We start from the raw sequence: 23,316 nt of genomic DNA, 5'->3' as shown, positions 1-23,316 counted from the left end.
TAAACAGAATCTTACTTAAACAGAGATTTGAATCTAATGGCTCACAGAGATGAGGAGTAGGGGGAAACCATACAGATTTTACCAAGGTATAAAGAAAAAACTGAAGAATTGTAGCTGAATATCTCTGCAGCCTGCCATGTGGACTGTGGTTAAAAATAAGATAATCTGTTGAAACATCATATGAATAAAAGTGCCCACATCTCCTCTAAATCTTAGTCAGCAATCAACCCCAGATGCCAAGTGATTTAAGATTTGGACAAACTGAACCAGAGAAGTGGAAATAAAGACAAAAAGCCCAGTGGATGCTGAATAAGGATAAGAGGCAAAAGTAGGGCAGTTAGTTTCCATTTAGAACAGCAAAAAAATTAGAGCACTTGCCCAATTTGGCTCTGAGGTTGTTACCAATGGTAAATCCATACGGATCTGCAGCAACTTCAATTCTTGCCTCCTCAGAAGAAATGATTCATCTGAGGGGCATTGGGCAAAAGGAGAGACCGAGGCAAGTTTTAGAAAAGGAAGTGAAAATTTATTTAGAAGCTTTAGAGTAGGAATGAAAAGAAATAAAGTACACTTAGAGAGGGCTAAGTGGGCAGCTTGAGAGATCAAGTGACTGGGTTGACCTTTGACTTAAGGCATACTAAGTATGTTGGCATACTACAAGGGTCTTGTGTCCCTTTCTCCCCTCATTCTTCTCTTGCGGTGGGCTGTCCACATGCACAGTGGCCTGCTAGCACTTGGGAAGGGAGCAAGCACAGTGTGTTTACTGGAGTTGTATGCGTGCTCCCTTGAGGCATTCTTGCCTTCCAGGTCAGGTCAGTTGTCTCTAGATCATGTAACAGTTAAACTCCGCCATTTTGCCTCTTAATGCGCATGCTTGAGCCCACTCGCCCATATCTTGAGATCTTATTGGGAAACTACTAATCAGTAACCAGTTTCAGGTTTTTTGTATTTATTGGGAGACTGCCTTTCCCTGGCAGTGGCTGCGACCAATTATTATTTTATAGAAATAGTGTAATACCTGCCTGACCATCACTTGATGATCATTTAACGTTCCTGATGGGAGCAGGAGGGAGCCCTCTCCTGCCGTGCTCATACCTGACTAGCTTGTTACCTACTGTAACAAGGTCAGTGGTGACCAGGCTTGAGGCTCCTAAATAGGCATTTGAAGCATTCCTCTCTAAAGAAAGTGATTGACTACTTTAAAAATTACAGAATGTCACAATATGAGATGTCTAAATGAAAAGGCAAGTTCTCATCCAATAACTATAAGCTCCATCTGTGCACAGAATGATTCCAATCAGCTTTTTAACAGCTAGATTTCTAAATATTAAATATGAATAAAACATAAAGACTAACCCAGTATTAGAAGAAAGCCTTTAAAAAATAAATGGAACAAAAAAAAATTCAAAGGGGACAGAAAGACGAGAAAAATAAAATTAATATATACAAATGTATATAGATATAAATTAAGTTAAAATTCTTAGAGGGAAATTCATATATTGCATCCTTCAGAAGAGAACAAAAGGTATAAAATGGGAACCCTTAGATAAGATGCACAAGTTCCAAATGTGTGTGTGTGTTGGTGTATAAAACGTAAATAGATACACACACACATACACAAGGAAAGGGTGTAAAAGAAAGAGAGGAAGAGATAAGAGTATACAGTTCTCAGTGAGTGTGGGTGGAGAGCCATAAGGAAACCAAATAGTTTGGGACATCTCATTAACAACAATGAAACCTAGAAGACAGCACAGGGAGAACTTAAAACATTCTGAGATATTTATTTCCAATAGAACGTTTGTAAAGAATTTTAATTTTGTCCAAATTAGTACTTACTTTAGAGAGAAAAATTAAAGTATAAAACACGTAGAACCTCAAAAAATTATACTCATTAGTTTATTCTATGGATGCTACTGGAGGATTCCATCCGCCAAAAAGAAAATTTTTAAAATGTAGAGGAGGAGTGTGCATGTGTAAACTGGTAACAGAGGAGACAATACGGAAGTGTATTTTTTTACTTTCTACATTAAATTACAGCCTCATGACTAAAATCAAAGCTACCTGCTTTTGACTTCTAACCCACTTAGCAATTAAAGGATGAAACTATTATATAGCATTTTAGAAATATTCGTGTCACTATACGGTGTAATCTTAAAAAGTAGTTGCAGCATATTTATATAATGACTTTTAAAGTTTTCATATTTTCAGCATTATGCAGCTACCAAAAAAATGGTGAAAGAACTTTCAGAAAGCATTCATACTAAATCCATTTATGCCATAAAATTAAAGAGAACAATTCGTTCCGGAAATTTACATTTACATATTTAACATTAAATATGTTACTTTAAACATTAGAATATCAAGAATATACATAAAGAAAGAAAATGTACATGATTATATATGTAAAATAAATATCAAAGTGTATATTTATGTTACATATATTCAAAATTGATTTCATTTTTATCAAAAACATGCATGCACATAGCTATACATCAAGTAGAAATATAAAGATTTATCAAAGTACTTAGATTTATCACCATTCTATCCCTAGTGCCATGTTCCAGCAACTTTCTTTTTCAACAGTTTTATATTCTCTTCATGGTCCTAAAATGCACATTTCTAAACAATACCGTGTATATACTATTTAATATTTATTAATTTTCGATATTGTTTTCAGTGATAGCAAATGAGGTTTTCAGTTATTTTTCACAACCAATGCTTGCACATTTTATCTTCATCTCTCAAAATTATTATACTTTATTCAAATAAATATATAGTGCTCATATTATTCTGAATATGGTAGCATTCTTATTTGTTTAACCAAGAGATATGTTGTATTTTCTGTTACATATAGGTTTTATTTTCTTTCTAGAGTTAATTTCCTGTTTTCTCACCTAATTGTCTCTGTACTCATGAGATCCTTTAAATACCTAGCAATCTTTTTTATTAATATTGATTTTAATTGATAAATAACTGTGTGCATTCATGAGGTACAATGTGGTTTTAATATATTTATACATGTGAAATGATTAAATCAATTGAATTAACATATCCATTACTTAGCTTACCTATTTTTCATGATGAGATATTTGAAATTTACCCTTAGTTATTTTGAAATATATAGTATATTATTATAGATTATAGTCCCTCTATTATACAATATGTCACAAATCTTATTCCTCTTATCTATCCAAACTTTGTACCTTTTGATCAAGAACTTCGCATCCTCTTCTTCCCCCTTCCCAACCCACTCTCTGATAAACATTGTTCTGCTCTCTACTTCTATGAGTTCAATATTTTTAGGTTCCACATATAAGTAAGACCATGTGCTATTTGTCTTTCTGTGCCTGGCTTATTTCAGTCTGTCTTAAAAAGTCCTACAGGTGATTCTGATAAAAAGCTAAAGTTGGAAATTCATTTTTGTAAAGTAATTAAGTGACAAGGGACCTTCCTTCTTTTTCCCTTTTAATTGTGGGTATCCCAATTAGAAAGCTGCAGTAGCATTTTTCTCTTCAGCTGCTCATCAAATTCTTTGAGTGTGTCATGAAGTATCCCTGGAAAATGAAATTCTCCAAGTGGAAGAAAAGAACTGATAATCTCAAATTTAAGTATACAAACTTCTAATTAACACACTGTTTGCAGCACTGTGGCTGCTAGTTCTCTTAACCCTAGAGCTCCTTAAATGCCACTTCTTTAGTACTTAAGCTTTCTCTTTACTTTGAGACTATCTGGGGGAGAGGTAGAAGCCTAGATTCATGGACTAATGAAGACTGGAAAATTGTAGCGACAACTCATCTGTGAACACACTTTCACATTTCATCCCTGTGTTTTATCTCCTATTTTCTGGAATACCTCGTGTTAGAAACGTGCATGGTGAAATTTACACATGACACAATTTCTTTTTATTACCATTTTTCCTCTTGAACAGTAGATTAAACCACACTGTGATGGATTTTTCTGTTGATTTGGGGTTTATGGTGATAGAATGTTGAAAATAATCCCTTAAAGAAGCTATATTTTTACTTGTCTCGTTCATTTGCTATAATAATTGACTCTATCTACCAATCATTTAATTTAACTTATGGTAAAATTATTTCTTTTCAGATATGTAAGTTTGGAAAGTCAAGATTCAATAATTCCTACACAATTATTGAATGTCTACTATGTTCCAGATATTGAGCTAGATACAGAATGATGTTTTGTTGCCATTTTCCTTAGGAGAATTACTATCAAGTTCGTGTAAAACTGTAGATACCTATAGAAAATGAAACAATAATGCAATTTGGCGCACACACACACACACACACGTACACACACATATCTATGTTATTTTTAGACAAGGTAGAGATTAATTGGAATGGGAATTACTAAAATTACTTAACTGAAATGTGGAATTTGGGTGGGAAGAAGGAAGAAAAAGCATGTTTCAGGCAGGTTAAATTATTAAATTCTTTCTACTTTCCTCCTATAAAAATCCAAAATAATATTTTCTAATTATAATCTGTGTTATATCTTTATCTTACACATCTTTACTATGTTTCCATTAACATATTTTAACACTTTCTACCTTGTTTTCTAAAATATGCATTTCTATAAATAAAGAATTTTAATAAATATATTTATAACTTATTTAATATGCATATTAAATCTATATTTCCAGACATACAAACATATTTACATATATTTATGGGTATTGCATGTTTGGGTATATATCTATATGTGTAGGGCACTGCACTGTGAACCACCGTCTTTTCACTTTTAACTGTTAACACAATCCTAGCATTAAAGTAATATCATTCTCATTTTTCAGATGCAGAAATTTTGACTTGCCCAAGGTTACACAGTTAATTAGTTAATGGCAGAGGGATCCACTCCTCTTAGGTTTAGCATGATTCAGATAAAAAATTACTATGCTAACCACAATTACCTCTCCTTTAAATTAACTGCATTAAAAAAATAATAATTTGAATAGCTTCCTCTGCAGAAAAAGTCACCATGGCTCGTGTTCTAAGGTAGTAGAGAAATTGAGTTTTCTATTAATTTGGAGCTAGATGAAGAAGTAAAGCATAATTTGTTTTTGAGAACTGTTGAGCAAGTTGAGAAGGTATGTGATCCAAAAGGCAGTTACTTGGGAAGCAGCCAAATTAAAAAGGATAAATCTGAATGAGTCATAAATTGAAAGTGGTAGGCAAAGAAGGTGAGTCTGGGTTGGAGCCAAAGAAATAGAGAACAGCAAATTGTAGAAAATGCCTGTGCTATTAGGAAAAGACAGGAATGGCCTAATTCCCTAGAGGGATTTACACTCAGGGAAAGCATCTGGAGATTATCTGGAAATTATTCCTTTTTAATAATTGAATGGGAAATGCTTATAGTTTTATTGCTATGATTTTATTTGTAATTTTAAATGTTTATTACTTGCTGATTATAAAATAAATCAATGTCATCAATTTTAACCAGAAAAAAATGAAATCTGAGATGCTGAATGCTTGTTAAGGATTCACATCAGGATTATCAAATCTCCTTCTATGACCCCAGTTATTGGTACAGTATTCTTTGTAATTAAAATGAAGGAATATGGCAGAACTTCCATCTTTAGCAATAAGACACACTGAATATTCTGAAATATTCTGAATATTCTGAAATATACCTCAATATGCTGGATATTTTTTAAAATCTTTAATTGCATAGTTTTAGCAAAAAAGTTTAAAAACATAAAGATAAAACAAAATATATTGAATAAAGCAGGAATTCCAAGAAGAAAGCTCCCAAAGAAGAGTCAGTTGCCCTGAGGAACTATGTCATGTCTACGAGCTTTTAGGCATATGGTTTTAATCCAACAAGTACAAAAAAAAAAATCTACAGGCTGATAAGAATAAAAGTTAGAAAACCAAGAGCCCCGATATAAAGCCATGATTCCAAAATATGAATAATCAATAAAATATCTAACTGGGAGGTAAATAGCACGCCCCTCCCCCCCACAACACACACACACACACACACGCACACACACACACACACACATACACTGCCAACTACAAGGAGAAAATAATCAGACTTAACAGATAAGGGAATGGAGTACCAAGATCCTCCTTGATAATACCTAATCTCCAGTCTGGCCTGAAGCAAGTTTTAGACTGGAAAACGCATTACCTACAGAACCTAAAATACCTAGAGCACACAGACTTTATGTTAAATTTCTGAGTATTATCAAGTTGGACACTTCGTAGAAGTAAACATAGACCTCCTTATAGCAGCAGATGTTATCACAGTCCTTCAAAGTTCTCTGAATAATAAAGTACCATAGTGAAGAAATAAACATTAAAAATGAAAATTGCCAAAGAAACAAGCTACTGTGTGTGCAAGTTAAGAGAATAAATACACAATAATCAGAAACAGATGTAAAGTATTAAAGACCAAATATAATGTGTTTAAGTAACAATAGGTGGTGTGCAAGTATGCAAAAGAAAGAAGGCTATCAAAATGCTGAATCTGATTTGGAAAATAACCAAATAAAAATTCTAGAAATGGAAAAAGAGCTCTTTAGATGAGATATATAGCAGAATAGGCATTATGAAGTTAGCATGAGTGAACTGAAATACAGATCTTAATAGAATTACTCAATTCAGTACAGAGAAACAGAGATGTAAAAATATAAGTGATGTTGAGAGATGTGAGAGTGAAATGAAAAATTTTAACATATATCTACTGAGATAACCAGAAGAAGCTAGTAAAAAAAAGTTAGATAAAAAGATATACTGAATAGAATTATATAAAAACTACTCATATTCTGTAACCATTGTGAATCATAGGTGGGATATATGACTATAACTTTATACCTACCATCATCATCATGTAGTTACATAGTATCAAAGATAAAGAGAAGACGTTAAATAAATAGGAAAATAAAGTATTTATTGATCTTCAATAGAACTAACTTTGAACTGAGCAGTCCCAATAATATATTTAAATAATATTCCAAATAACATTACCTAGATTTGCATGGAAATCAAACATGGTCAAGAACAAAAATGAAATAAGAGCACTGAAGACAAACAAAAGTTGTAAAGTTTATTGCCAACACATCTACAGCCAATAGGAGTTAGCCAAACAACCTAATGAGAAAATGGGAAAAAATGTAAAAAGATAAACAGAAATGGTCAAAAGGTAGTAAAAGAGAATGACAGTTTAATGAGTATGAGGTTTCCTTTGGGGTGATGACAGTCTTCTGAAACTAGATACTAGTGAAGGTTATATAACATTGTAAATCTACTAAATTCCACTCGAGTGTGCACTTAAAAGTGATTAAAATGGTATATTTTAAGTGATGTGTATTTTACCACAGTAAAAATGATATTCACAAAAATATATTACCAAAACAGTGGTAGTATACAACTGCTTCAAGTTTACCTTATAAACTGTAGTATTTCAAGAGTTTCTGAATGCACATCCTGGCCTCACAACTTATTATTGTGTATACTGGTGTCTTAGTCCATTCAGGCTGCTCTAACAAAATACTATAAACTGAATAGCTTATAGACAGCAGAAATTTATTTCTCCCATTTCTGGAGGCTCAGAAGTCTAAGATCAAGCTAAGATTTGATGTCTTGTGAGGGCCTATTTTCTGGTTCCTAGTCAACAACTTCTTGTGTTTTATATAATGGAAGGGGTGAGGGATCTGTTTGGGCCCCTTTTATAAATGTACTAATCCTCTTCATGAGGACTTTACCTCATAACTAATAAACTCTCAAAGGCCTCACCTCCTAATACTATAATCTTGGTGGTTAAAAATTCAACACATAAATTAGGGGAGTGGGAGACATAAATATTCAGATCATTGCAACTTGTGCAATTTAGAGGACTTCCTTTTGCCTCGACCTTCTTCTATGGTAAAATGAAGGTGATTATAATAGTAACTACAATGTGCAGATTAACCATATAAAAAAGCATGGAAAACCCTAAAATAATAAGATCTAAATTAGGTTTTCATATTATTAGTTTTAATTTCTTATCATCATCATTATTACTAACATTTTGCTTCTAACATTTTCCAGTCTAAAGTATTCATATCAAATTTTTGTGCCATCCATTATCATTCAAGTTTTCGATTAATTGTGCTAGAATGCTTTCCTCGAATCGTCATCTTACATTTATATCTGTCTCCACTTTCCAGGGTTGTTGTATATTACATTCCCTTAAGATTAATGCCATGTTGAAATTATCGGTTTATTTTTTTTTTCCTACTAGTTTCTCAAGAGCAATGTATCGTCCAAATTGTCTTTTGATCACATATTGCCACACCACACATACACACATCTCATGAATTCACAATTGTTCAGTTGAACAGTGTCATCTACATGATTGACATATACTTTGTTTCTTTCATTGAAAATATTTTTCCATTTAATTTTTGCCCAATTATAGCACTAAAAATGTCTGAAACTCTCAATTTCTCATATTAAGGTAAAAAATAACTTAATAATGCATTCATTTAGCAAATATTTAGTAGCACTAACTACCGGCGCAGCACTATGGCTGTGATAAGTATTTCAACATTAATTCTCAAAATATTTTTGTTTGCATCTAAATTTAAGTAGGAAAGAGAAAGTTATTGATAATGCAATGTGAAACTTCAGAAGCTATGACTATAGTTACATGCTGGCTAGGAGTTTCACTGATTCCCAGCCAGATCTTTTTTTTGGAAAAACATATATTTTTTCCTAAATGACAAGAAAAAAACATATAAAATTAGATTATGAACACATTTTTTGGCATAGGTCTCTGTCTCTTAATCATATGCATGTTTAATACTTTAAATATAACTTAAACAATTGACATGCTTAGAATAAAAGAGAGTATGATACAGTGAAACTGAATATACCATAATATTATCAGTTTGGTACAAAAGACCAAAGAAATGTTGGGTTACATCAGTATGTCATTGATCTATTAGGAGAGAAAAGCTGAGAAACCCAAGAGGCTGTGATCCTTAACCTTGTTCACATCTAAGAAAGAAACACACATATACTAGCTTCTTATCCAGATACTGCAAAATTATAATATTATAACATATAAAACTATGTCTAGCGGATTTGATTTTGATTTCTATTTTGAATAGTTCTTGACAATATCCATGGATAACAACTAAATTTCTGTCAACACATTTTAATGATTATATACATGCATAGCAGTCATTTCATGCAGCTTTAGGGGGTAAAGATGGATCAGTTAGTGATATTGGCTTGATTTCATTTAAACAAATTATTTTCCATTTTGAGATATATAATACAGAATTTGTACTCTTTTTCATGTGTTTGTTTTCAGGAGCTTCTTAAGTGGGATACAAATTATTTTGCCCTAACTATATATAATGAAATCAAACCAATAATGGACACGGTGATAAGCAGGACCCCACAAGTTCTTTCAAAACCAGCATACATTTGTCAAAATCTCCATCAAGCTAGTCAGTAAGGAAAACAATATATTTACTGTTCAAGCCCTGAAGCTTTTGAAAATTTTATGACACAATAGAGAAAAAAATTATATTTGACAAGTTTGAATTAGAGTTTCATAACCTAGGAGCATTTATATTTTGGGAGTGGTTTACATGTCCATTAAGATATTAGAGAGATTAGGAAATGCTTTCATCCTCCAGAGGATGCCTGGGATGGCCATATCATGACTCAGGAGGCTTGTCCAGTTATCCAGATTTTTGTAGAAATGATGTAATTTTCTCTGTGTGATATTGTGCTAAAATCTGTGGGAGTCACCAAGACTGCTCTTGTAAAATGGGCAGAAAATGTCTAAAATCCAGTCCAAGTTCTGTTGTATTCACCAAGTAAAACAGGCCTTTCAGTAATTTATAGTTGTATTTTCATTCTACTTCATGTTTAATATCTACACAGAGCTTCTCTCATGCTATGGAAATACAGAGAGTGAGATTTTAGGGATATAGTATCCAATGTTAACTATAATAATGATACCCCAAAATTGAGTGATATCTTTGATAGGCACTGACATATATTTATTTACAAGTTTCATTACTATTCCAAGAGGCAATTAACAATAGTCCTTTTCAATTAATAAACATCATCAGGTACTTAATATTAGCTATATGCTATGAAAGTTTCTGCAGAATGAAAACATGAATAATGCATAGTCTCTCCTGAAAGAGCTTTCAATCTAGCGGTGGAGCCAAATAATAATGCCAGCTCAATGGGGCAGATTTTATAAAAGAAGTAGTAGAGGAAAACAGTATATTATAAAAACACAAAAGTGTAGTAAGTAATTCTGATTCAGCAATAAAGGAACACAATTTAGACTTAAAAAATTTGCACTTCAAAGTATGTAAAATATACGACCCAACGTGGAACAGACTAAAAGTAAGATGACCATGTTTAGTACAAAATGGAAAAATGGTTTTCTAGGAGGAATAAAATTAAAAGAGAAATTGTCTGAAAATGTCACCTTGATATTGAAACCAATAGACAAGTTGGAAACAGATTTTATCAGTTCCTCATCTTATTCTTGAGGCGAACTCCACTCGACAAAATAGTTTCCAAAATAGATGTCCTAAAACACAAAGAGTACCAAATACATGTAGCAATACCCCAAAGGACACATACTTTCCTTGCTTCCCTTTATTTTCTTTTATATTCCTACACATATGAATCTTTACAAAGGGAATTTAATATTTAATGTGATACTTGTACTCTAGTGATAAATATTTGGGCCATAAATTCTTATTAATTTCTTAGTAAAAGTTAAGTGTGCTATGGTTTATTTAGGATTTTTGCATGTAGATTTATAAGTGATATTGAACTATATTTTTACAATTTCAACTAACTTTATCTGGTTTGGTATTGAATCAGTTCTCTACTGCTACATGACAAATGTGCAGAAATTTAGCAACTAAACACCCATTTATTATGCTACCATTTGGTAGATCACAAGTCTGGGAGGGTTAATTGGATTCTCTGCTAAGGGTCTTTCAATGTGAAAATCAAGGTTTAGGGGCTGAGCTCTCATCTGAAGGCTTTAGGGCAGAAGTGTTTTTGAGATCATTAAGGTTGTTGGCTGAATTCAGTTCCATGTGGTTGGAAAATTGAAGTCCACATTTCCTTGGTGGCTGTCGGCTTAGGGGGTTGTTCTTGACTTCTAGACATAGTCTGCATTCTTCATCATGTAGTGCTCTGCATTTTTGAGCCAACAGTGGTATTTGAAATTCTTCTAGTGCTTCAAATCTCTGGACTCTGTGTGATAAGTTTAGACCAGTGGATACTATCTTGGTATCTCAAAGACAGTTGATTTAGAACTTTACATTTGCAAAAATCTCTTCACAGCACTTAGATTGAATATCGGTGATATGATTTGGCTGTGTCCCCACCCAAATCTCATCTTGAATTGTAACTCCCACAATTCCCAAATGTCTGGGGAGGAACCTGGTGGAAAGTGATTGTTGAATTATGAGGGTGGGCCTTTCCTGAGCTGTTCTTGTGATAGTGAATGAATCTCAGGAGATCTGATGATTTCAAAAATGGGAGTTTCCCTGCACAGGCTCTCTCTTTACCTGCCACGATCCACGTAAGATGTGACTTGTTCCTTTCTGCCTTCTGCCATGATTGTGAGGCCTCCCCAACCATGTCGAACTGTAAGTCCATTAAACCTCTTTCTTTTGTAAATTACCCAGCCTTGGGTATTCCACAACATGAAAACAGACTAATACAATAAATTGGTACCAGTAGAGTGGGGTGCTGCTGAAAAGATACCTGAAAAGTGGAATCGACTTTGGAACTGGGTAACAGGCAGAGGTTGGAACAGTTTGAAGGGCTCAGAAGAAGACAGGAAAATGTGGGAAAGTTTGGAACTTCCTAGAGACTTGTTGAATGGCTTGGAAAAAAATGCTGATAGAGATATGAACAATAAGGTCCCGGCTTATGTCGTCTGAGATGGAGATGAGGAACTTGGGAACTGGAGCAAAGGTGACTCTTAGTGTTTCAGCAAAGAGACTGGAGGCATTTTGCCCCCTCCCTAGAGAGGCCTGGAAATTTGAACTTGAGAGAAATGATTTAGGGTATCTGGCAGAAGAAATTTCTAAGCAGCAAAGCATTTAACATGTGACTTGGGTGCTGCTAAAGGCATTCCATTTTATAAGGGAAGCAAAGCATTAAAGTTTGGGAAATTTGCAGCCTGATAATGTGATAGAAAAAAAAAAAAAAACACATTTTCTGAGGAGAAATTCAAGCTTCCATCACAGGCCCAGAGGCCAAGGAGGAAACTATAGTTTCCTGGACTGAGTCCAGGGCCCCCCTGTTCTGTGCAGCCTAGGGACTTGGTGCCCTCTGTTTTAGCCACTCCAGCCATGGCTCAAAGGGGCCAAGGTACAGCTCTATTGTTGCTTCAGAGGGTGGAAGACCCAAGCTTTGACAGCTTCCATGTGGTGTTGAGCCTGCGGATGCACAGAAGTCAAGAATTGAAGTTTGGAAACCTCTGCCTAGGTTTCAGATTTATACGGAAATGCCTGAATATCCAGGCAGAAGTTTGCTGCAGTGACAAGGCCCTCATGGAGAACCTCTGCTAGGGCAGGGCAGAAGGAAAATGTGGGGTGGAAGCCCCACACAGAGTCCCTACTCGGGCACTGCCTAGTGAAGCTGTGAGAAGAAGGCCACCGTCCTTCAGACCCCAGAATGGTAGATTCAGCGAGAGCTTACACTGTATACCTGGAAAAGCCACAGACACTCAACACCAGCCCATGAAAGCAGCCAGGAGGGAGGCAGTACTCGCAAAGCCATGAGGGTGCAGCTTCCCAAAACCGTGGGAACCCTCTTCTTGCATCAGCATGACTTGGATGCAAGACATGGAGTCAAAAAATATAATTTTTGAGCTCAAAGATTTGATTACCCAGTTGGATTTCAAACTTGCATGGGGCCTGTAGCTGCTTTGTTTTGGCCTATTTCTCCCATTTGGAACAGCTGTATTTGCCTAATGCCTGTACCCACATTGTATCTAGGAAGTAACTAAGTTCCTTTTAATTTTACAGGCTCATAGGCAGAAGGGGCTTGCCTTGTCTCAAATGAGACATTGGACTGTGGACTTTTGAGTTAATGCTGAAATTAGTTAAGACTTTGGGGGACTGCTGGGAAGGCATGAATGGTTTTGAAATGTGAAGACATGAGATTTAGGGGAGACCAGGGGCTGAATTATATGGTTTGCCTGTGTCCCCACCCAAATCTCATCTCCAATTGAAACTCCAAAATTCCCACATGTTGTGGGAGGAACCTGAAGGGAGGTAATTGCTGAATTATGGGGGCGGGCCTTTCCTGTGCTGCTCTCATAATAGTGAATGAGTCTCACCAGATATGACAGTTTTAAAAATGAGAGTTTCCATGCACAAGCTGCCTTTTTGCTTGCTATTACCCATGTAAGATGTGACTTGCTCCTATTTCCCTTACACCATGATTGTGAGGCCTTCCCAGCCATGTGGAACTGTATGATCATTAAACCTCTTTCTTTTGTAAATTGCCCAGTCTTGGGTATGTCTTTATCAGCAGTGTGAAAATAGACTAATACAATCAGGGATAAAAATCTTGGAATATCATTTTAGAATTCTGCTTATCACAGGTAACAAGGTTATGATGGCTTGCTAAAATGAGTTACTTACCAATACCTCTCTAGTAGCTGTAAAACTTTACATGTAATCCAATCTTAGATTGTTGGTAGAAACTACTGGTAAAAAAATTAATTTGTTGGTAGTTAGTAGCTATTACTGGTAAAAATAGCTGCAACTCATGTTTTATTTAGTTTTGTATCTTGTGGGTAAATTCCATTTCTTTAATGATTATGTTAATTTTTATTATACAGGTTTACTATGCTTGTTTTAGTTTTTGGAAGGTTTGAATTAATTGGCATAAAGTTACAATATTCATTTATTTTTATATTATTTCTGCATATGTAATTATGCCTCCTTTTTATGTTGAATATTGTTTGTGATCCCTTTCTCTGTCCTTCTCACCATCTCTCCTCTCTTCTTGATCACTCTTGTTGAAAGCCTATATTGCCAGATTATATATATATGCACTTTTCTGATAAAATGCTTAGTTCAGGTTCCTGTAACAAAATACCATAGTCCAGGTAGCTTACAAACACAAGCATTTATTTTTACAGGCTGGAAGTTCCAAAATCAATATTTCATTGTTATCTGGTGAGTGCCCACTTCTTCACAGATAGTGCCTTCCAGCTCTGTCCTCACATGGTAGAAGGGGCAAACAAGCTCCCTAGGGTCTTTTTTATTGGACATTAGTAGCATTCACCTCTCAACGACTCCCACTTCTTAATACCATCACCTTGGGGGTTAGGATCTCTATTTATAAATTTTAGACAACACAAACATTCAGAATATAGCAAGTAATTTTGATCCTATCACCCTCTAAAATTGGTTAAAGTTTCATTTTATTCTGAGGTTAGTATTGCTCTTTCCTTACAGTTACTTGAATTAAATTTATTTTATTTTAATAACTTTCAAGTTGGATAATTACATTACTCATTTTCAGACTTTCTTTTCAAATATCAGCATGTGAAGATTTATTTTCCCCTTGGTTTTAAATGCATTTTATATATTTTGAAATATCGTATTATGATGACTATAGAGTATATGTATTTTCTAATTTCAAATAAGACTATTTATTGATGCATGGACTATCTCCATGTTATATTCTTTTAATTTCCAAATATACGGTTATGGTTTCTATATATGTCTAATTTGATTGTAGCATGCAAGAGAAGGTAAATGTAGTCAAAATTAATTATTCTTTATGCCCCATATTTCTGCACAAGCATTGATATTTGTATTATGACCAGATATTATTATTATTATTATCATCATCATTTTTTTTTGAGACATGGTCTCTCTCTGCTGCCCAGGCTGTAGTGTTGTGGCATAATCACTGCTCACTGCAGCTTCAACCTCCTGAGCTTAAGTGATCCTCTTCCCTCAGCCTCCCAAGTAGCTGGGACTACAGGCACAGACTACCATGACCAGCTAAATTTTTTACTCTTTGTAGAGATGGGTTTTTCTATGGTGCCCAGGCTGGTCTTGAATTCCTGGGGGTAAAGCAATCCACCTGGCTCAGCCTCCCAATGTGCTGAGATTGCAGGCATGAGCCACCATGCCTGGCAATGACCAGATAAGCTGTCTAGTTTTGTAAATACTGTACTCCTCTGTATCTTAAAGAGAATGAATATTTACAATGGTTGGATGTAAGATTCAATATGCATGCATTACACCAAGCTTTTTATATGTGTTCTATTTGTCTTTTATTTGTACTATTTTTCCTCAACAACTAGATTTCTTAGCAGTTTTCTTTAGACGAGAAGAACTTGCTCAATGCAGTCTGAATGAGAATCTTGTAACAAAGATTCACAATTCAGTAAACACATACATTGAATTGTCTAGCCACTATCACCCCCCAGCAAAATTTCACAATATAAATCACCAAGAAAAGTTGATGGTGGGTGAAAATCCCAGAGTATCACTGAGGATTTTGCCAATTTCTGTTTGAAATGACATTAGTAATTAGTTCCCAATATTTAGCTAAGAACTAAAAATGTATTTTGGGGAAAATGTTGCTGTTGTGTTATTACATAAGGGCTGATCTTTTGTTCTAATCATATTTTTAATAAATATATGGTTCCTGATGTTAGTAGACCTGTATCTGTTTTTATATATTTTGATCCTACTTTAGGTGTTTCTTTCATTTAAAAAAATCATTAAATATTTCATTCAATTTGAAAATGTGTTTCTTTTAGCAGGATCATTTTATCCATTTGTATTTACATTCTTACTGGTATATTTAGGGTTATTTCTCCACCATAATGGTTACTTTCTATTTGCCCTTCTTTAACTGTACCAAACATCCCCAAGTAATTATTACAGCTATTTTAAAGCTTTTTGTTATCTAGGATTTAGGTGTTTCTGATGGTGGTGGAAGCTTATCTGGTGCAGACGCTGTGGGGAAACCAGCTGCAGCAGGGGAGACATGGCCAGGCTGTGTGCTCCATGGACCCGGCAGAAGACCTTCCCACTACCAAGTTAGCGTGGCAGGAGCCCGTGCTCCTAGATGCAGCTGCAGCTGCCCAGCCATGGCTCTGGCCCCTGGCATGTCTGCGTTCTTTGGGGCCTGGGAAGTGCCTTGCCTTCACAGGCTTGAAAATGCCTACTTCCACTCCTTGGCCTGTTCCTACTCCTGGTGCCCACTCCGAGGCATAACAAAGTTGTGGCCAAACCTGGGTGCTGTTGCAACCCAGCCGGGTGTAAGTGTCAGCAGGGTGATGCTGACACGTCATCCCCCTGCTGCTTTGGCCCCCTACAGACTTTGGGCACCAATGATCATGAGAGGGAGGTCAAGGGGGCACTGAGGGCAGTTTGGGATGAGCCTGCAGGCACCCTTTGGCAGGAACAGCCTGGGTGTCACGAATGACATGTTGATGGCAGCAGGTGGAAGAGAGACTCCTGGGTGTAAAGAGGTAGGTCCCCACTGAAACTCCACCTTCAAGCCAGGGACAGCCTGAAGCCTGGGGCTGCCAGTTTTGGGTGGAGTCTGCAAGCCTGGAGTGAAAACTTATGGTTCTTTTTCCAAGCCCAATCCTGGCTGCCCATGGACCAATCAGAACAAAGTTCCTCCTTTTGTAGCCAATAAAAGTCCAAGACTCAACCAGACTTGAACAGATGTTGGAGCTACCAGCTGTGTGAAGGGGCTACCTGCCTCCGGTCTCTTGGACTCTTCAGGATGACCTGCCTGCAGAAAGGAGCTACTCATTTTGGGTCTCCTGAAAGCTGTCCTGTCACTTAATGAAGCTTCTCTCCACCTTGCTCACACACAAGTTGTCCTGTACCTCATTCTTCCTGGACATGAGACAAGAACTTGGACCTACCAAATGGCAGGACTGAAAGAGGTATAACACAAACAGAGCTGAAACACTCCCCCCACACCACTGGCCATGTTGTGGGTGACGAGAAGGAGAGATTAGCTGCAGCCCTTCTGGGAGCTTAGATTTGCAGACTCCCTAAGCAGGGGCTGTGACAACCTCTTTGGGACTCTGTGGTTCCTGGCATCTCCAAGATTCTGGGTGCCACCACCTTCCCCTCACCCAGAAGGGGGTGCCCACAGCCACGTGCAGTAGGCATGCCTGTCTGTGCACAGTGGCCAGAACCCATGCTTACTGCCCATGCACCCCTCACCGTTCCATGCCTGGCTTGACCTTAGCAGGTGTGGGATCTGGGCCAATAGCGCAAACCGAAGGCAGCTTGCTCAGCTGAGTGGGTGGGATGAGCCCAGCAAGCATGAGCAATACTCAGGCAGAAGGTGCCGTGTGTCACGGAGGCTTCCAGCTGGCCAAGCAACACTCCAAAATCCTGTAACATTTTCTTAATTAAAAAAAACATATAGCTAGATATTTCATTCAATTTGAAAACTTTTGTCTTTTAACAGGATAATTTTATTAATTTGTATTTATGTTCTTGCTGGTATATTTTGGGTTATTTCTCTCACCATAAGGTTTACTTTCTATTTGTCCTTCATTAAGTACACCAAAAATACCCAAGTAGTTTTTGTGTTAGCATTTCAACTTATGATCATGATTTTTTTATAACTGCTAAAAGTTTTATTGTAGGTGATTTTTTAAAAAAAATTTAAGAAATAATGTTTCTTAAATTGTAAATCTTTGATGTGGAATTTTCATTCAAATTGTATGATGGCATCCTATCCCAACTAAAAGTGCCAATAAATGTAATAATAAAATATGGTGGTCTCATACCAGTTGGTAATGTGATTTTGATCACCATGATTTCAAAGATTTAATAAAATATATAAATAAAATGTTGAAATTAGGATATAGCTTCACAATCTTTGTCTAAATAAAATACAAATAACATACAATTATTAAATTGATCTATTTTGGGGTGTACAAAATAATAAAACAGATATTTTTCTATGTTTTATTGGAGAAGTAAATGATTAAATCATTAAATTGTCTAAAATAAAAATAACTTTTTATAAACAAATTTTAGCAATTTAAGTATGAGTTATAGTGTTTAATTTTTCATTGTAAAGTGATTTTTTCATATATTTTGTGGCTACTAAAATTTTTAAAAAATATTTAGTGTTAGGTGAATTACAACACAATATTAACTACAGAAAAGGATGATATAAAGCTTCATATTTTAAGTACGACCATCACTTTTATTATATTATTACTGTACTTTTCTTTGAGATATAGGTGGTTTTTTGTAGATGAGTCATACAGAAATTCCCTCAAAGATTCTTTCAACATGCCAGTGTTGAAGAGAAACTATATTTCTCACAGATAACTTTTACTTTCAGTTTTTTGAAAATTCTGTAGGCTTAAATTTAATAACTCCAGGCTGAGAAGAAAATATTTTTATTACATATACTAAAAGGTATCAGTGGAATATGTAACATTTTAGGAATCAGAAAGCTGATAATCTACCCTTAGGTTTAACATTTACTTTCACCAAACTTCCCCCAAAATATATCACCACTTTCAGTCATGCAATACATGGTTGTCAGAAGAAAATATGAGATAATGCAATAGAATTTACTTTGTAATAACATTATAAATATCATTGTTAATGTGAATTAAATGTAATCAGATTCCAATTTCACAAAGTTGCATATTTTATGGATGCTCTTAAATGTTGACTATCAGTTTGCAAAAATTTTATTTATTTTTTCAAACTCTGTGAATAAACGAATCACAAATAATTACACAAATATTATGGTAAATTAGATTAAATGCAGTTATAATGTCACAAGTAACTTTAAAAAATATTCAATATGGGCATTATATTTTCAAGAACTCTGAAAGCTATCAAAATGTATCTATCCTTCTGAAAAGCTAACAAGTAACCTGATACAGTTTCGTGGATGCTTACAGAAGAGATGAGACTTCTGTACACAGTAGGTTGGATGAATTTCATGTTGATGTCAGTACCCTCTGTTTCCCCAAGTCTGATTAGTCTGAAGCGGTCCAGATGGAGGGTGAACACCTGGTAGATTTGCTTCTCAGTTGAGGATCCCTGAGCTTAGGAAGCCCAGATCTTTTAAAGGGGCTACCAGCAACATAACAAACCTTTGACCTGAAGAGAGACATTACCTTTTCTATTGTGGAGCACAATCTAATGTGGCCCCTGTTTTCTTCCTTCATAGGAAACACAGTTGACCCTTGAAGAACACACATTTTGAACTATGGCCCAGTTACAAGTGGATTTTTTCAGGAAAATTACACCGTGTCTGTCTGCCTCTCCTGCCTCCTCTTCCACCTCCTCCACCTCTTCTGCCTCTGCCAACCCTGTGACAGCAAGAACAACCCCTCCACTTTTTCCTCCTCTTCAGCCCATTCAATGTGAAGAAAAGGATGAAGATCTTTACAATGATCAACTTCTATTTAATGAAAGGTAAATATGTTTTCTTTTTGTTATTATTTTCTTAAAAACATTTTCTCTTTTCTAGCTTGCTTTATGATAATAATATAGTGAATATAACATAAAATATGTATTAATTATTTATATTAAAGGAAAGACTCCTGGTCAATAGTGATATTTATATTTTGAGACAGTCAAAAGTTATACCTGGATAGTCAATTGCATGAGGAGTCAGTGCCCCTAGCCCCTGCATTCTTCAAGAGTCAATTGTACTAGCTCAATCTTCCATGACTGATGTTACATAAGCATCCTTAAAAAGATATTTAAGGACAAAAGCTGATGCAAGACATGCAGAATTGTGAAATCCATGAAAAAAAACAACTCATTACGTAAATCAGCAAATTAAACCTCCTGTTTAGAATAGAATGTCTCCTACTTATTTAAACAAATTGATCAGACTCGGTCTATGCATTATGCTTATTAATACTCGTATTGTCAAGATATTGTTTAATAAATTCAATCTTAATATGTAATCAGCATAATGTATTTGGGAGAGGAGGTATTAATCCAATAGTAATCACAGTAAAAACAAAAATGCCATTGAAAGAAAACAGTTATTATATGCCTTGCAAAGGCTTCTGCAGTGAATTCTCCTTAAACATTATTTCATCCAATAATAGCACCTATTTTTAACCTCACTGCAGTAAAACACAGCTGCAGCTGACTGTCTTAGGAAAGACAGGCCTCATACTAACGACAGGGTTCAATTATCTTTAGGTAATTTTTCACTCCAAGGTTCTTCACATACATATATAATATATTATTGTGTGTGTGAATTTAAACAATAATAAAACATTTTCAGTATTTTTTTTCTTATATATCAGACTATGTTAATAAGTATCCTCATTTTCAATAATCCAAAAAATTGTTTTGATAATAAGATATTTGGAAATCAGCAAAAGTACATAACCAAATGTATTTTTTATTCATTCATCAAACAGCATTTAATTTCTACTATGTGCTCAGTACTGTCCAAGATGTTAGTGCACATAATGATGAAAAAAACAAAACACCATGTATAAATATTCTGAATTTGATGAATAAGTAACGCTGAAATTTTATGGTTTTTTTTTTCTGCAAAATAACGTTTTTACAAAGAAAAAAACCCAAAATTTCAGAGAGAGTTTAAAGTAGTCCCTGAAAGGTAAGTGTAGTAAGCCTGATGGTTGGTGCCTAAATATTGCACTCACTTTCCCCTACGGCTTATTTGCTTTAAGGACATATTTCAAAATAGTATAGGTGTAAAACTCGTTTTACAAAATAGTATAGGTGTAAAACTCTGTTTTATCTACATCTGACAAAGTGATGTCCTATGGAGCACCTCATTTCATCCACACCAAACATCTTGAATGAATAGGAACTACCAAACATAGATATATCAGTGGGCATAAGTGGTTGCAGATAATAATTAAATATTGAATCACTTTCTCTCTTACTCTCTCTTTTTCTCTCTCTCCGTGTGTGTGAAGGTCTCTCTATATACTCATATATATTTATATATCAGTATATTCAATATTTCTCTCTCTGTCTTTATATATGCACACATGTATATATATGTAAGTGTGTATGTATACATCAAATCAAAACAGAAAAATAAATGATATCTATATTCTTTTACATTAAATTTTTGTTAAAAATGCTGCAAGTTTTCTGTGTTTTTATCTGAGATTGAAAAAGGATTTCTCTAGAAAATCAAATACCACATGTTCTCACTTATAAGTGGGAGCTAAACAGTACATACGGACATAAAGGAGGAAACAATAAACACTGGGAACTACAAATGTGAGGAAGGAGAGGAGGGGACAAGGGTACTATGTATTGGGTGCTACCTACCAGGTACTATCTATTGGGTTGTATCTTTTGGGTACTACCTATTGAGTTCTGTGTTCATTATTCATGTGATGGGTTCAATAGAAGCCCAAACCCCAGCATTATGCAATATACCCATGTAACAAAACTGCACATGTACCCTCAAATCTAAAATATTTTTTTCAAAAAAGAAGCATTTATTATAGGAATAGTTTTCCTTTCTATTTTATATCATTTTTATTCATCTTATGGAAATACTATAATGTGTAATCTGCATTGGTTTAATGCTGCTGATATAGTCATGATTAGTGTAAATTCAGGTAATGTAATATGTGCTGTATTGTATACATTGTTCATTAATTTCTACCTCTTGGTGACAACAATATTGTCTAATGATTGGGTTCTAATTGTCTCTGCCAATTCATAATTGGCCCTCCTAGAATAAATGGAACATTTACCATTATCTTTCTCTCTCTGATATAAGCCCTGGTCCTGAAAGGATAGAAACATGCATGTAAAAATTTTATATTGTATTGAATTTCCAAAATATTTCTGGATACGCCTGCAGGTAAGTGTACCTCATAAGTCTTAATATGATAATTGTCATGGTTGTTATGAGAGTATTCAATGAACCAATTTGATTTTTTCTCCCTTTTTTTTTTCATTATGTTGAAATGCAGTAGTCTCCCCAAATTTGTGAGGGTGATGTTTCGAGATCTCCATTGGATGCCTGAAACCACAAATAGTAATTAATGAGAAATTTTAATGTATAAATCAGGCAGAGCAAGAGATTAACAACAATATATAATAATAAAATAGAACAATTATTACAGTTTGGCAGTATAACTACTCTTATGCTTTGGGGCCATTATAAGCAAACCAAGGGTTACTTGAACACAAGCATTTGTCAGTCTGATAACCGAAAGTGCTACGAAGTGACTCACAGGTGGGTAGGGTCTATACTGTGAATATGGTGCACAAAGGAAGGATATACATCATGGGCCGAATAGAACAGGATGGTATAAGATTTTATCATGATACTCAGAACAGCAAGCAATTTAAAACTTGTAAATTGTTTGTTTCTGGAATTTTCCATTTATTATTGTCAGACCACAGTTGACAAGTAACTAAACCCATGAAAAGCAAAATCACAGATAAGCAGGGGGAACGACTGTAAATAGGATATATCACATTGTTCATATGAGAACAATTTTACTTCAGTATAAGAACTAGTCAAACACTTGTTACTTTTGAGAGTGAGGAGGCTATGACATCTGTTAAATAAAAAATATATTTCCACTGCCAACTCTGCTGAGACATATTCCTTAAGTCATCGCCAATCTAGGTATTTTGGTTCTAAACGCTATACTGTTTTTTAACATAGCTATACATAGTTACACAATTAAATGTTTTCTAGATGATTGATTTAAAGTGTATCATAAGATACGTAAGCAAATAAACTATATAGAAATTTAAAACTGTATTTTTTGATTCAATGTATTCAAACAAAAATGATAAACTGGATGGATATATTGTGCCAGATAGTGTCTGCCACTCAGGATTCAGTTAAAAGAAAAAAATCATCCCTTCTTCCCTGAAACTGGAGACTCTCCCTTCCCAAAAGAAAGAAAAATGTGAAGTGAAGACATGTTATAGATAATATGTAACATGTCTATATCTTGTTAAAATGAAAAATAATCTTTATGGAATATATACTTATAAAGCAAACAACAATATTACAACCTATTTTATGACTTCAAATGTTTGTATATGTTTCAACAATAAGTATTTTATATTATTTAAAATGATCATGTATTCAGTCTATTAAAAACACTTTTTTCTATTTTTCAAAAAATATATATTTATTTTGAAAATTGGAACACGTTAACCAAAATGAAAATGCAATTTTCATGTGACCCAAAGATCTCAGAAGTACAGAATAAGATTTTTTATTTTTTTTTTAATTGAGAACACGGGCTTGAGAGATTCAGGGAAAGAAACATAAATTAGAG

At 34.8% G+C, this 23,316-nt stretch overlaps 1 long non-coding RNA gene across 1 annotated transcript in view; it reads left to right on the top strand.

Moving 5' to 3' along the window:
• Window positions 1-23,316, top strand: part of LOC107986221 (uncharacterized) — a 67,141-nt gene that overhangs the window by 22,527 nt on the left and 21,298 nt on the right. The window contains exon 2 of the long non-coding RNA XR_001741501.2: window positions 19,221-19,468. This is a non-coding gene — a long non-coding RNA (uncharacterized LOC107986221). The remainder of the gene's footprint in view (window positions 1-19,220; window positions 19,469-23,316) is intronic.

The sequence above is a fragment of the Homo sapiens genome, chromosome 4 (genome assembly GCF_000001405.40).
Source record: "Homo sapiens chromosome 4, GRCh38.p14 Primary Assembly".
NCBI classification, from domain to species: Eukaryota; Metazoa; Chordata; class Mammalia; order Primates; family Hominidae; genus Homo; species Homo sapiens.
The sequence above is the reverse complement of the archived record's forward strand: the minus strand, read 5'-3'. Positions and strand labels throughout refer to the sequence as shown.